Source organism: Homo sapiens, chromosome 7 (genome assembly GCF_000001405.40).
Source record: "Homo sapiens chromosome 7, GRCh38.p14 Primary Assembly".
Lineage (NCBI taxonomy): Eukaryota > Metazoa > Chordata > Mammalia > Primates > Hominidae > Homo > Homo sapiens.
The window spans coordinates 149,152,991-149,167,684 of NC_000007.14; the positions used below are offsets into that span (position 1 = coordinate 149,152,991).

General features: G+C 45.9%; 1 protein-coding gene and 1 pseudogene across 5 annotated transcripts in view, besides 5 other annotated features; both read left to right on the plus strand.

Annotated features, from left to right (window-relative positions):
• ZNF398 (zinc finger protein 398) overlaps nt 1–14,694 on the plus strand; it is a 56,635-nt gene that overhangs the window by 26,583 nt on the left and 15,358 nt on the right. For all 5 annotated transcript variants that reach the window (NM_020781.4, XM_011516440.3, NM_170686.3 and 2 more), the window contains 3 exons: nt 955–1,350; nt 13,168–13,294; nt 13,827–13,940. In NM_020781.4, coding sequence (NP_065832.1) covers nt 13,261–13,294; nt 13,827–13,940 — 148 coding nt within the window. In that variant the 5' untranslated portion in view covers nt 955–1,350; nt 13,168–13,260. The remainder of the gene's footprint in view (nt 1–954; nt 1,351–13,167; nt 13,295–13,826; nt 13,941–14,694) is intronic.
• Nucleotides 3,143–3,710: an enhancer, noted in NCBI's record as "H3K27ac-H3K4me1 hESC enhancer chr7:148853225-148853792 (GRCh37/hg19 assembly coordinates)". NCBI's record gives its function as "activates a minimal SCP1, AML or CMV promoter by ChIP-STARR-seq in primed H9 embryonic stem cells {active_cell/tissue: H9 hESC(primed)}" and the evidence as "EXISTENCE:reporter gene assay evidence [ECO:0000049][PMID:30033119]".
• Nucleotides 3,711–4,276: an enhancer, noted in NCBI's record as "H3K27ac-H3K4me1 hESC enhancer chr7:148853793-148854358 (GRCh37/hg19 assembly coordinates)". NCBI's record gives its function as "activates a minimal SCP1, AML or CMV promoter by ChIP-STARR-seq in primed H9 embryonic stem cells {active_cell/tissue: H9 hESC(primed)}" and the evidence as "EXISTENCE:reporter gene assay evidence [ECO:0000049][PMID:30033119]".
• Nucleotides 4,277–4,844: an enhancer, noted in NCBI's record as "H3K27ac-H3K4me1 hESC enhancer chr7:148854359-148854926 (GRCh37/hg19 assembly coordinates)". NCBI's record gives its function as "activates a minimal SCP1, AML or CMV promoter by ChIP-STARR-seq in primed H9 embryonic stem cells {active_cell/tissue: H9 hESC(primed)}" and the evidence as "EXISTENCE:reporter gene assay evidence [ECO:0000049][PMID:30033119]".
• Nucleotides 6,937–6,996: an enhancer, noted in NCBI's record as "active region_26810". NCBI's record gives its function as "activates an Ori minimal core promoter by ATAC-STARR-seq in GM12878 lymphoblastoid cells {active_cell/tissue: GM12878}" and the evidence as "EXISTENCE:reporter gene assay evidence [ECO:0000049][PMID:35858748]".
• Nucleotides 8,461–8,610: an enhancer, noted in NCBI's record as "active region_26811". NCBI's record gives its function as "activates an Ori minimal core promoter by ATAC-STARR-seq in GM12878 lymphoblastoid cells {active_cell/tissue: GM12878}" and the evidence as "EXISTENCE:reporter gene assay evidence [ECO:0000049][PMID:35858748]".
• Nucleotides 11,438–12,431, plus strand: LOC100420549 (centrosomal protein 83kDa pseudogene; annotated as a pseudogene).

Here is a 14,694-nt window from a genome sequence, read left to right on the forward strand (position 1 = left end):
GCTGGTGTTACAGATGTGCACCATCACCCGGCTAATTTTTGTACTTTTAGTAGAGACGGGATTTCACCATGTTGGCCAGGCTGGACTCGCACTCCCAAGCTCAGGTGATCTGCCCACCTCGGCCTCCCAAAGTGCTGGGATTACAGGCATGAGCCACCGCACCGGCAAGAATTTCTTTTTTTGAATAGTTCAACAATTATTTATTAGTGGGTCACAATGGCACACACCTGTAGCCCCAGCTACTTAGGAGGTTGAGGCAGGAGGATTGCTTGAGTGAGCCAGCCTAGGCAACATAATGAGACACCAAGACCCCGTCTCTAAAAAGAAAAAAATGTATTTATTGTAGGCCAAAGTTTGCCTGTCTGAAAATTTCGTTATGTTGGTTCTAGTTCTGCCCTCTGGAGTAACATAGTGTAAGATGAAACAAGGCTGTTCTGCCTTCTGTTTTGTAACCCTCATTATCTGAAAACAGCTCTCATGTTTTCTTCAGATTCAAGATTCTTAGCTTATTCAGCCATTACTGAATGGTGTGGTTGTAGTTTGTAAACAGGGTGATTGACAGGTCTAGAGCATAAGTCTATAATGGATTTATCAGAGGGCACTAGGTTCAGTGAGGCCTGGAAAGGATCCTTGTGCACATTTGCCTTTTCCAGAGATAGAGGATGCTGCAGCAACCTAAGCTGGGCCTTATAGCGGAGGAAATATACCAGACTAGTTCAAGAGCCAATTTCATTAATTCACTGTCTTACCCAATCTATCCCAGAACCACCAAATCAGGTCTCTTGGCTGTTGATGCCAGTGAGCTCCAGAAAGATGAGGCATACGCAGGCAGTACTAGAACTATATTCAAATTAATCTCTGCTGGACAGTTAAGCAGTCCTTATCTGATTTTAGTTTGGAGTTAGGGTTCCTTCTAACACTCAATGTCTTGTTCCATCTTTCCACTGCATGCAGACATCTGAATGGGACTCCGAGTGCCTTACATCCCTGCAGCCCCTTCCTCTTCCTACACCCCCAGCAGCAAATGAGGCACACCTGCAGACAGCAGCTATCTCTCTGTGGACAGTGGTGGCCGCCGTGCAGGCTATAGAGAGGAAGGTGGAGATCCACAGCCGGCGACTCCTACACCTGGAAGGTCGGACAGGGACAGCAGAGAAGAAACTAGCCAGCTGTGAAAAGACAGTTACCGAGCTTGGGAACCAGCTGGAGGGCAAGTGGGCCGTGCTGGGAACCCTGCTGCAGGAGTACGGGCTGCTGCAGAGGCGGCTGGAGAACTTGGAGAACCTGCTGCGCAACAGGAACTTCTGGATCCTGCGGCTCCCTCCAGGTATTAAGGGAGATATCCCAAAGGTAATACCTTCATTTCTAGATGTAAAGTGGTACCACTAGAACTTACATTAGTAGTAGTCTTGGTCATTCAGTTACTTAGATTTTTTATTTCCTTTTAAAGTTTCTTAAAATATCTCAGTCTGAAAGAATCATGAAGGTGTTTTATGTTTGTCTATTTGGGAAACATTTTATGTTCAATTTAGTACCCATTTAGAGTGCCAAGATTCAGATTGGAAACCTCTTGCTGGACCAAAGTTGGCTATCTGGTAGATGGATTTTTTTTCTCTTTTGGTTTCTCCTACCCATTACCCATGAGCCGCTTCTTTCTTCGTTAACTTGTGTGCCAGATTCTTGGGGAGGAGACTACATAAATATTCTTTTAAATCAGTCAATTTGAGGCTGGGCGCGGTGGCTCATCCCAGCACTTTGGGAGGCTGAGATGGGCAGATACCTGAGGTCAGGAGTTTGAGACCATCCTGGCCAACGTGAGGAAACCCTGTCTCTACTAAAAATACAAAAATTAGCCGGGTGTGGTAGCACATGCCTATAATCCTAGCCACTCGGGAGGCTGAGGCTGGAGAATAGCTTGAACCCAGGAGTTGGAGGTTGCAGTGAGTCGAGATCATGCCACTGCATGCCAGGCTGGGCAACAAGAGCAAAACTCCTTCTAAAAAAAAAAAAAAAAGGCCTGGCGAGATGACTCACACCTGTAATCCCAGCATTTTGGGAGGCTGAGGCAGGTGGATCTCCTGAGGTCAGGAGTTCAAGACCAGCCTGGCCAACATGGTGAAACCCCGTCTCTACTTAAAATACAAAAATTGGCCAGGTGTGGTGGCTCACACCTGTAAACCCAGCACTTTGGGAGGCCGAGAAAGGCAGATCACAAGTTCAGGAGTTCAAGACTGGCCTGGCCAACAAGGCGAAACCCCATCTCTATTAAACATACAAAAATTAGCTGGGCTTGGTGGTGGGCGCCTTTAATCCCAGCTACTTGGGAAGCTGAGGCAGGAGAATCGCTTGAACCCGGGAGACAGAGGTTGCAGTGAGCTGAGATTGCGCCACTGCACTCCAGCCTGGGCAACAGAGTGAGACTCCGTCTCCAACAACGACAAAAAAGAAGAATCACCTGGTAGGCTTTTAAAATTTTGGTGAGCATCACATCCAGATTCTGACCTAATAGGTCCAGGATGGAGCTTAAGCATGAATAATTTTTTAAAAACCTCCATAGATGATTCTAATATATGACTAGGGTTGTGAATCACTGATGTGTAGGGCATTTAAGACCAAGGAAAGGAATTTGGATTTTTAACTAAGGTGTAATGAGGAGAAATTGGAGGGTTTGAAGCAGAGGAATTATATTTGGTTATATATATATATATATATATATATTTTTTTTTTTTTTTTTTTTTTAATTTTTTTTTTTTTGAGATGGAGTCTCACTCTGTTGCCCAGGCTGGAGTGCAGTGGCGCCATCTCGGCTCACTGCAAGCTCTGCCTCCCGGGTTCACGCCATTCTCCTGCCTCAGCCTCCTGAGTAGCTGGGACTACAGGCGTCCGTCACCATGCCCAGCTAATTTTTTGTATTTTTAGTAGAGACGGGGTTTCACCATGTTAGCCAGGATGGTCTTGATCTCCTGACCTCGTGATCCGCTCGCCTTGGCCTCCCAAAGTGCTGGGATTATAGGCATGAGCCACCGCGCCCGGCCAGTTTTATATATTGAAAGAATCCCTTTGGCTGCTTTGTGGAGGATGGATCGTAGGGGAAGAACTGAAGAAGGGAGGAAATACTAAGGCAGGGAGGGATGCAAGTGGCTTGGATGAGGGTAGCAGTTGTAGAGATGGAGAGAAGTGGACAGATGCAGGATGTTTGGTGGTAGAACTGACAATAAGAGTTACTGATGGGAAGGCAGGGTGCATTGGCTCACGCCTGTAATCCCACCACTTTGGGAGGTTGAGGCGGGCGGATCATGAGGTCAGGAGTTTGAGACCAGCCTGGCCAACATGATGAAACCCCGTCTCTACTAAAAATACAAAAAAATTAGCTGAGCGTGGTGGTGGGCACCTGTAATCCCAGCTACTTGGGAGGCTGAGGCAGGAGAATCGCTTGAAGTTGAGGGGGAGGTTGCAGTGAGCCGAGATCACGCCACTGCACTCCAGACCAGGCAACAGGGCGAGACTCCATCTCAAAAAAAAAAAAAAAAAAAAAAAGAGTTACTGATGGGAATTAGGAAATAAGGCATTAAGAACAGTAATTGTAGGCCAGGCGCAGTGGCTCACGCCTGTAATCCCAGCACTTTGGGAGGCCAAGGCAGGTGGATCACCTGAGGTGAGGAGTTTGAGACCAGCCTGACCAACATGGAGAAACCCCATCTCTACTAAATATACAAAAAAATTAGCTGGGCCTGGTGGCGCATACCCGTAATCCCAGCTACTTGGGAGGCTGAGGCAGGAGAATCGCTTGAACCCAGAAGGCGGAGATTGCGGTGAGGGGAGATTGTACCACTGAACTCCAGCCTGGGCAACAAGAGCGAAACTCCATTTCAAAAAAAAAAAAAAGAATAATTATAAATTTACTGTGTGGTAATTTAGTTAGAACTTACTATTCTAAGTGTTCTACTTATTTTAAGGCATATGAGTCTCAGAAGAACCCAACTTGCCCGAGGTCACATAGTTAATATAAATAACAAAGTTGTGTTTTAACTAGGTTGGCTCCAGAGCAGATGCTCTTAACCACGTTAGGTTTACTGTCTCAGGCTTTCGGCTTGAAGAACTGGGTAGATGGTGTTGGAGTTTCCTTGAGGGGAATACCTTGGGAAAGTGTGGCCTTGGGGGTGGGAGGAAATTAGGAGTTCCCCTTTGACAATGTTAGGTTTGAAATGCCTGTGATACTTTCAGGAGAGACGTTAAAAGTGGACTAAGAAAGTCCAGGACAGGGCGGGGCACGGTGGCTAATGCCTGTAATCCCAGCACTTTGGGAGGCCGAGGCGGGCGGATCACGAGGTCAGGAGATCGCGACCATCCTAGCTAACACGGCGAAACCCCGTCTCTACTAAAAAATATATAAAATTAGCCGGGCGTGGTGGCGAGCGTCTGTAGTCCCAGCTACTCGGGAGGCTGAGGCAGGAGAATGGCATGAACCCGGGAGGCGGAGCTTGCAGTGAGCCAAGATGGCGCCACTGCACTCCAGCCTGGGCGACAGAGACTCCGTCTCAAAAAAAAAAAAAGAAAATCCAGGACCAGCAGGGCGCGGTGGCTCACGCCTGTAATCCCAGCACTTTGGGAGGCCAAGGCAGGCGTATCACGAGGTCAAGAGATCGAGACCATTGTGGCCAACATGGTGAAATCCCGTCTCTACTAAAAGTACAAAAATTAGCTGGGCGTGGTGGCGCTCGCCTGTAGTCCCAGCTACTTGGGAGGCTGAGACAGGAGAATTGCTTGAACTCGGGAGGCGGAGGTCGCAGTGAGCCGAGATCGTGCCACTGCACTCCAGCCTGGCGACAGAGTAAGACTCTGTCTCAAAAAAAAAAAAAAAAAAAAGAGTCCAGGACCAAGTCCGGTGGTAGGAGGAGCCGGCAGAGGAGATTAAGAAGGAAAGGCTGGGCCAGCGCCGTGGCTCATGGTGGCAGGCGCCTGTAGTCCCTGCCTGTAGCTACTCGGGAGGCTGTGGCAGGAGAATCGCTTGAACCCAGGAGGTGGAGGTTGCAGTAAGCCGAGATCGTGCCATTGCACTCCAGTCTGGGCAACAGAGCAAGACTCCGTCTCCAAAAAACGAATAAAAATAAAAATCAAAAAGAAGGAAAGGCTGATGAGGTAGAGGAAAAAACAAACAGGAAAGTATGTGGTGTCACAGGGCCAAGGAGAAAAAAAAAGCATCCCAAGTAGAGAGTTGTCATTTATGTTGAATATGTTACTGGGAGGTTTAGAAAGATGAGGACATTGAGTATGATTTGTCTGCATAGATGTCACTGGTGGCTTTTACAATAATTGCTTGTGTGGACTGGTGGGATAGAAGACTGAATGGAGCAGATTTTGAAGAGTGAATGCGAAGAGAAAAAATGGAAAGATGATCAACAACTTTTTCAGATTTTTCTGTGAAGTGGGGTGGAGATGAGGAAGTACCTGGGAAGGATATTGGAGCCGTTTCTCATAGAGAACCTTCTCCATAGTACATTTTGTTTGTGCATCTGGAGCTCCTCCAGAAGTTCCTTGGGATAATTTAAATTTAGTATTCATGGCCTGGCGTGGTATCTCACACCTGTAATCCCAGCACTTTGGGAGGCCTAGGCAGGCAGATCATCTGAGGTCAGGAGTTGGAGACCAGCCTGACCAACATGGTGAAACCCTGTCTCTACTGAAAATACAAAATTAGCTGGGCATGGTGGCGCATTCCTCTAATCCCAGCTACTCGGGAGGCTGAGGCAGGAGAATTGCTTGAACCCAGGAGGCAGAGGTTGCAGTGAGCCGAGATCATGCCATTGCACTCCAGCCTGGGTGACAGAGCGAAACACCGTTTCAAAAAAAAAAAAAAAGAAAATTAGTATTTATTTTAAGAATAATAGTAAAGGTAAGTTAAAATTATTGTCTTATCTGGAATAAGTGGTTAACAGTTAAACTGTCCATCTTAGACTCTAAAATCATCTATAAAGTAATGTGATTTCCCTTAAAGATTTTTTTTTTTTGAGATGGAGTCTCCCTCTTGCTCAGGCTGCAGTGCAGTGGCGTGATCTCGGCTCACTGCAACTTCCACTTCCCGGGGTCAAACGATTCTCCTGCCTCAGCCTCCCAAGTAGCTGAGATTACAGGTGTGTACCACCACGCCTGGTTAATTTTTGAATTTTTAGAGGAACTCTGACCTCAAGTGATGCACCTGCCCTGGTCTCCCAAAGTGCTGGGATTACAGGTGTGAGCCACCGCGCCTGGCCATCTCTTAAATATTTCTTAATGAAATTAAAATGCATTTGATTCTAGTCAAAATGTATTAAAGATTTACTAAATTGAAATATGAGAAACTTTTGTGTCCTTGCTTTGTTGAAAATGCTCTTTTTCGGCTGGGCGCGGTGGCTCACGCCTGTAATCCCAGTACTTTGGGAGGCTGAGGCAGGTGGATCATGAGGTCAAGAGATCGAGACCATCTGGCTAACATGGTGAAACCCCGTCTCTACTAAAAATACAAAAAAAATTAGCCGGGCATGGTGGCGGGTGCCTGTAGTCCCAGCTACCCGGGAGGCTGAGGCAGGAGAATGGCGTGAACCCGGGAGGTGGAGGTTGCAGTGAGCTGAGATCGCACCACTGCACTCCAGCCTGGGCTACAAAGTGAGACTCCGTCTCAAAAAAAATGCTCTTTTTCTGCTCTTAAATTTGAATGCCAAGTTCCAGGTCCAAAATAACTTTTCCTCAAAAAAAAAAAAAATTTTTTTTTTTGAGATGGAGTCTCACTCTGTCTCTGTTAGAAAGATGGAGTGCAGTGGCACAGTCTCCACTCACTTCAGCCTCCACCTCCCAGGCTCAAGCGATTCTCGTGTCTCAGTCCCGAGTAGCTGGGACTAAAAGCATGCACCACCATGCCTGGCTAATTTTTGTATTTTTAGTAGAGATGGGGTTTCCCCATGTTGGCCAGGCTTGTCTCGAACTCCTGACCTCAAGTGATCCTTCTTCCTCAGCCTCCCAAAGTTCTGGGACTACAGGTGTGAGTCACCGGGCCCAGCCAGTGTGAAACTTTGATACATTTGTATAAAGTGTAATGATAAAAGGAGGATAATTAGCTGATTAGCATATCTATCACCTGAAGCATTTATCATTTCTTTGTGTTGGGAACACCAAAAAAATCCTCTTTTCTAGGCCAGGCGCGGTGACTCACGCCTGTAATCCCAGCACTTTGGGAGGCCAAGGCGGGCGGATCACAAGGTCAGGAGATCGAGACCATCCTGGCTGACACGGGGGTCTCAACTAAAAATACAAAAAAGTAGCCAGATGTGGTGGTGGGGGCCTGTAGTCCCAGCTACTTGGGAGGCTGAGGCAGGAGAATGGTGTGAACCTGGGAAGCGGAGCTTGCAGTGAGCTGAGAGTATAGACCAGTTTATACTAGGAAGTGGGATTCTCTTCTGCATATGGCCATTCCCTACATGCAGTCTTAACCCCAGTGAGGCAGAATTCACAGTCCTCCTCTGAATGCACTCTTCAGTTTCCTTCACTTGAATGTTTTCTCCATTCCCATTAGGACTAGCCAAAGTCACATCTCTTTTTGAGTCATGCCAGCCCCATGTCTTGTCCATGTCATTCATTTGCAGATAGTCATATTCCCCTTTGGGGCAGAAACCATATTTTAGTTATCTCAATGCTTAGGGAAAACCTTGTATGTAGTGGATACTCAGAATATTTTCTTGTGTGAATTAAGTATGCTTTGCATTTGTATCTAACTCTGAGTAACTCTGAGTCCTCCACCCTCCAGAAGCTCACAGCTTTAGATTATCACCTTTCTTCTTGAAATCATTGTGAACTCCTAGAGATTGGTCTGTGCCTTATTTTTCCTGTATCCTTTCAGTACCCCATATAGTTTTCTCAGTCAGGAGGCACTTAGTAAACAGTAAAGATTTTTAGACTGAGGGGGCTAGAGTGGGGGCGGGCTGCTGGCTGAGGTGGTGTCTCTGCTCTGCACCCCAAGGAGGCCTGTCAGGAGGAGGTGGGCTTTCCCCAACGCTGCCCTCTTGACCCTTGGAGCTCTCCCAGGATTCCTCAGATTTCCCCAGCGCCCCTTTGGCACTGTGTCTCCTCCTCTTTGCCCTGCCTTCTCCCTGTCCCACCACCACCTCCTCACCCTGTCTATCCCTCCTCCTCTTTGCTCTGGCTCCTTGCCACCAGGATCTTTTCCTAACTTTTTTCTTTCCTAGTAGAGACAATGGGCTGACAACCTGACTTCCAAAAAATATTGAGGAAAGGCAAAAACTAGTTTTTAGGCCAGGTGTGGTGACTCAAGCCTGTAATTCCAGGGCTTTGGGAGGCTGAGGTTGGAGGATTGCTTGAGGCCAGGTGTAGGACACCAGCCTGGGCAACATAGCCAGACCCATCCCTACAAAAATTATGTTTCTAAAGATTGACTCGCCATAGTGGCATGTCACTTCCTGACTCGTCCCAGCTACTCAGGAAGCTGAAATCGGAGGATGACCTGAGCTCAGGAGGTCGAGGCTATAGTGAGCAATGATCACATCACTGCACCCCAGTTTGGATGACAGAGTGAGACCCTGTCTTAAAAACAAGCAAAACAAAACAAAACCAAAACCAAAAACAACTAGTTACCAGATTCTGAATGCCTAACATACAAGCATACAAGGTGGCAGGATGAGTACATAAAGTCGCAAAAAGTACTCAAGTGCCTATTAAATGAAAAGCAAACATACCAGGAAAAACTTCAGCTCCTGCTTGAAGAACTAAGAGGGGAATTAGTAGAAAAGCTAAGGACTTAGAAGAAATGAAGCTGCAGGTAATTAACTCCAAAAAAAAAAAAAAAGGGGAATTGTTAAAAGCCCAAATACAGCAAGAATTAGAAACTCCAGTGTTTTTGCAATTGGGATGAAGAAGTGGAAAAGTATAGAGCTGCAAGCTTTGCTATAAACATACATTTCTTAAATAGAATCTGAAACACTAGGAAGAAGAATTTACATGTAGTTTAGAAAAAAACTCTAAAATTTGAATTAGAGATTTATTTTTATTTTTACTTATTTATATATTTTTCAAGACAGGGTCTTGCTCTCGCCTGGGCTGGAGTGCAGTGGTGCTATCTTGGCTCACTGCAGCCTTAAGGCTCAAGTGAGACTCTTGACTCAGCCTCCCGAGTGGCTGGGACTACAGGTGTGCATTACCACAGCTGGTTAATTTTTTTTTTTGAGTCGGAGTCTCGCTCTGTCGCCCAGGCTGGAGTGCAGTGGCGCAGTCTCGGCTCACTGTAACCTTCGCCTCCTGGGTTCACGCCATTCTCCTGCCGCAGCCTCCCGAGTAGCTGGGACTACAGGCGCCTGCCACCACGCCTGGCTAATTTTTTTATATTTTTAGTAGAGACAGGGTTTCACCATGTTAGCCAGGATGGTCTCGATCTCCTGACCTCGTGATCCGCCCGCCTCGGCCTCTCAAAGTGCTGGGATTACAGGTGTGAGACACTGTGCCTGGCCCCACAGCTGGCTAATTTTTAAATTTCTTTATACAGACAGGATCTCACTATGTTGTCCAGGCTGGTTTCGAACTCCTAACCTCAAGTGATGCTCCTGCCTTGGCCTCCCAAAGTGCTGAGATTACAGGCATGAGCCAGTGCACCTGGCCTGAATTATAGATTGCAAGACTGGGGAAAGATGTAGAACTATATAACCAGCTGCTTAGTGTTGATCCCACAAGAGGCAACAAATGAGTAGAGGAACTTGTTTGAGAAAAAGTCCATTTGTTTCAGAAATTAAAATAATTCATAGGCTGGCTGGGCACAGTGGTTCACGCCTGTACTCCCAGCACTTTGGGAGGCCGAGGTGGGCAGATCGCCTGAGGTCAGGAGTTTGAGACTAGCCTGGCCAACATGGCAAACCCCTGGGTGGGGGGAGGGGGGCGGCGGAGGTTGCAGTGAGCTGAGATCGTGCCATTGCACTCCAGCCTGGGCAACAGAGCGAGAGTCTGTCTCAAAAAATATATATATATTCATTCAGAGGCTGAAGTAGCAGATTTAACGGCTGAAAAAGAGAATTCTGGTGCTCAGTTAGAAAACGTCCTAAGAATACAGGTGTGACAGTTGGCTGAGATGCAGTTACAGTCAGGTCCCAGTAGGCCAAAAATGTCACGTAAACTGTAGGTTAAATGCTCGGAAAAAGAGCCACAATCAAACAATGAACAAAATACCTGTTTTGTTTGTTTGTTTGTTTGTTTTTTTCAGACAGAGTTTCACTCCTGTCGCCCAGGCTGGAGTGCAGTGGCGTGATCTCAGCTCACTGGAACCTCCGCCTCCCAGGTTCAAGCGATTCTCCTGCCTCAGCCTCTTGAGTAGCTGGGATTACAGGCATGCGCCATCATGCCCAGCTAATTTTTTTTTTTTTTTTTTGAGATGGAGTTTTGCCCTTGTCGTGCAGGCTGAAGTACAATGGTGTGATCTCGGCTCACCGCAACCTCCGCCTCCCGAGTTCAAGCGATTCTCCTGCCTCAGCCTCCCAGGTAGTTGGGACTACAGGCCTGTGCCACCACGCCCCTGGCTAATTTTGTATTTTTAGTAGAGACGGGGTTTCTCCATATTGGTCAGGCTGGTCTTGAACTCCCGACCTCAGGTGAGCCACCGCGCCCGGCCAAGCCCAGCTAATTTTTGTGTTTTTAGTAGAGACAGGGTTTCGCCATGTTGGTCAGGCTGGCCTCAAACTGCTGACCTTGGGTGATCCACCCGCCTTGGCCTTCCAAAGTTCTAGGAGCCACTGCGCCTGGCCAAAGTACCTTTTTAATCATTAAAGATTACATAAAACTGAACAAGAAAGAAATACCCTGACCAGGCTGGGAGTGGTGGCGGTGGCTCACGCCTGTAATCCCAGCACTTTGGGAGGCTGAGGTAGGTGAATCATTTGAGGTCAGGAGTCGAGCCCCACCTGACCAATATGGTGAAACCCCGTGTCTACTAAAAATACAAAAATGAGCCAGGCGTGATGGTGTGCACCTGTAATCCCAGCTACTTGGGAGGCTGAGGCAGGAGGATTGCTTGAACCCAGGAGACAGAGGTTGCAGTGAGCCGAGATAGCGTCACTGCACTCCAGCCTGGGTGATGGAGCAAGACTCCATCTTAAAAAAAGAAAGAGGGCCGGGCGCAGTGGCTTGAGCCTGTAATCCCAGCACTTTGGGAGGCCGAGGCGGGCAGATCACAAGGTCAGGAGATCGAGACCATCCTGGCTAACACGGTGAAACCCCATCTCTACTAAAAATACAAAAAATTAGCCGGGCGTGGTGGTGGGCGCCTGTAGTCCCAGCTACTTGGGAGGCTGAGGCAGGAGAAGGGCGTGAACCCGGGAGGCAGAGCTTTCAGTGAGCCAAGATCGCACCACTGCACTCCAGCCTGGGTGACAGAGCAAGACTCCGTCTCAAAAAAATAAAAATAAAAATAAAAAAAGAGAAAGAAAGAAATACACTGAGCACTAAAGTCAAAGAACGAAACTTTCAAGCATACTAGAAATAACAGCCATGAAACTAGAGGCAGCAAGAGTGAGCTAGAAAGGGAAAGGAAAAAGATTCAAAGTGAACTGGATGGTTTACTGTCAGACAATGAAATTCTGAGACCAGCTATTGAACACCACAAAGTGCCCTTAGTAAAAAAAGATCATATATTAATATGTAAGGCACCAGATGCCAAGGAAGAAGGTTGTAAAAGACTTCTGGCATTACAGGATGAAAAGCTAGAATTTGAAAACAAGTTAGCAGATAGAAAATGAAAGTGGATCATGATGTCTGCAAGCAATGTGAAAAGCATCAGTGTGAAAAGAAATTGTGGGAGGCCGGGCACGGTGGCTCACACCTGTAATCCCAGCACTTTGGGAGGCTGAGGCAGGTGGATCACGAGGTCAGGAACTCGAGACCAGCCTGACCAACGTGGTGAAACCCCATTTCTACTAAAAATACAAGAATTAGCGGTGTGTGGTGGCGGGTGCCCGTAATCCTGGCTACTTGGGAGGCTGAGGCAGGAGAATTGCTTGAACTCGGGAGGCAGAGGTTGCAGTGAGACGAGATCGCGCCACTGCACTCCAGCCTGGGTGTACAGCGAGACTCTGTCTCTAAAAAAAAAAAAGAAAAGAAAGAAAGAAAATGCAGAGGAAGAAAAAAACGAAAATTTTGACCTGGAATAGTAAATCAGTAGTTTTCAGATCCAAGTTACCTCACTTGCAGAGTTCGAACCGAATGCTGAAAGAAACGATGGAGACATTAAAACAGGAATGCTGAAATATAAGAAATCAAGCTGAGAAAGTCTAACTAGAAGTCAAAAAGACATTGGAAAAAGAACAGACACAGCAGTTAGAAGAAAAGCATATGCTTCATGAATGTATCTCAGGGAAATGTACAGTCAAGCTAAAGAGAAATTGCAGTGAGCTGCAGTTGCCCAGAAAAACAGGAAATCTTGCCGTGAAAACAATTGAAGAGATGGCAGGACAAGGTGTAAATCTTGGAGGCAGGTAGAGAAGAAATGGAAACAGAAAATTGGGTTTTAAATAGACAAAATGTTCCATTTGAAGAATGTACAAAGCTTCAGAAAAGACTAAAGGATACACACAGAAGACATAATGAATTTTGAAGTTTAATTTTGGTTCCTAACATGCCTCCAAAATCAATCCTGTTTGCTCTCAGTCATCAGCCATGGTATTATCCTTTCCTCCTCATGTGCACGATGAACAGCATCAAAGGGAACTCTGTACTTGGCAAAAGACTAGAGGAACTAGAAACAACACAAAGAAAACAAATAGAGGAATTTGGATCTCCTGGAGAGTGATGTTCTTAGAGAAAAGGCATTTTAAAAGAGGTGAAATCAAAGACTCAATAAAGCTTGAAGTTTTAACATACATGGTATTTAGATATTTTATTACTGCTTACCAAAATACTCGAATGTGCCTCAAGAAAAGGTACCAGCTTTATTTAAGGGACTCGTGCTGTATTGCATGAGTACTAGGATTTTAGGATTTTCTAATGACAAGTGAAGCATTAAAAGAAACCATTTCAGAGATATTTAGAATATTTATTGACCACCCTTTGAAAATGTAAAAAAAATAAAAGGAACTAATTGGAAAGAGATTTATTGAATGACTGAATTATAATGGAAGGGACTAACCCATGTGATTGTAATTTTAGGTGCCTGTGGCATTTGATGATGTCTCCATCTACTTTTCCACTCCAGAGTGGGAAAAATTAGAAGAATGGCAAAAGGAACTTTACAAGAATATCATGAAGGGCAACTACGAGTCTCTCATCTCCATGGGTGAGGCTGAGTTGACACCTTTTGAATGAAGTGACAGCAGCTCCAAGAGGGCTCAGAACAGTCCCTTTTCCTCCAGTGACCTCATTCTCACTCTGTCTTCACACACTTCAAATTCTGGTTTCAAGCCAAAATATGACCAATTAATGCTTGCTAACTAGGAATCATAATCTCTCTTTTTACCAAATTGTAGGACAGAGAATGAAGTTCAGGGTTATGGGTGTGACAGCTGGTGGTTTCCATGGGTATCCTTCACTTGGAAAGGAGCTTGACTTCTCCCCCTTGAGGCACACTGTCACTCTGAAAGCAGTGCTAACCTAGCACATGTGCTTTCCCCACACATTACATCTCCACTGCCTGCTTTCCTGAATAGATATCCACAGCTGAAGATGGATAGATGGGAAGAAGTGATATGAAATCTAAAAGAAATTCCCTGGCACTGTGACCACAAAGCTTCAGCTCAGCCTTGATGGCAATTAGTTGTCATCCTCATTTATCTCTTTGTAATACTCTCTCTTCCTTTTTCCTCTCCTAGATTATGCTATAAATCAACCTGATGTCTTATCTCAGATTCAACCAGAAGGGGAACATAATACAGAGGACCAGGCAGGGCCAGAGGAAAGTGAGATTCCCACAGACCCCAGTGAAGGTAAGTGGGAGAAGAGATTCCTACTTCTTGTCTCCCTTTCCTGGTCAGACATGGTGGCTCAGAGCTAAGCAGGGCTTAGGGGCTTCTAGAGCCATTCATTGCTAAAGCAACTAGATTTTGAATGTGTCATCAGGCATTTAAATATAAAAGGGAGCTTAGAGGTCACCTTGTCCAGTGTCTTCACCTATCAGTACTACACACCTAACAGTTACAAGTTGCATTTCCTGACAGAAGTACTGACACCTAGCTGTTTAATAAAATAAACATGTCCTTACATGATGAAGGAGGCAGTCATGCTCATCTGGACTAAATTGGCTTGAGCAAATATAAGCATGGCCCTTCATAAGTGCTGAAGGGACTAGGAGTCTGCATGGTCCCTCTAAGATGCATGGAACCAGTAGACACTGATGACATCCACCTGGGCAACATGGATTTTCTCAGGTCTGGGAAGCTGGCTATCATGAACTCTTCCTAACTTTTTGGTTGGCAGCTGCTTAACATTGTGTGGGAAAGACTGCCAACCAAAGTCCAGTTTTATTGTTTCTCTCATGCCTCACCTTGCTGTCAGAAAATTCTCATACACTTTTTTGTTCTTTGATGGATAGAAGCACACAGAAAGTTGATCCTCCGGGCATCTCTATTATATGAACTTCTCTTACAACCCACCCGCTATCCCATATAGTTATTTTTTTCTTTTTCTTTTCTTTTTTTTTTTTTTTTTTGAGACGGAGTCTTGCTCATGCGATCTCGACTC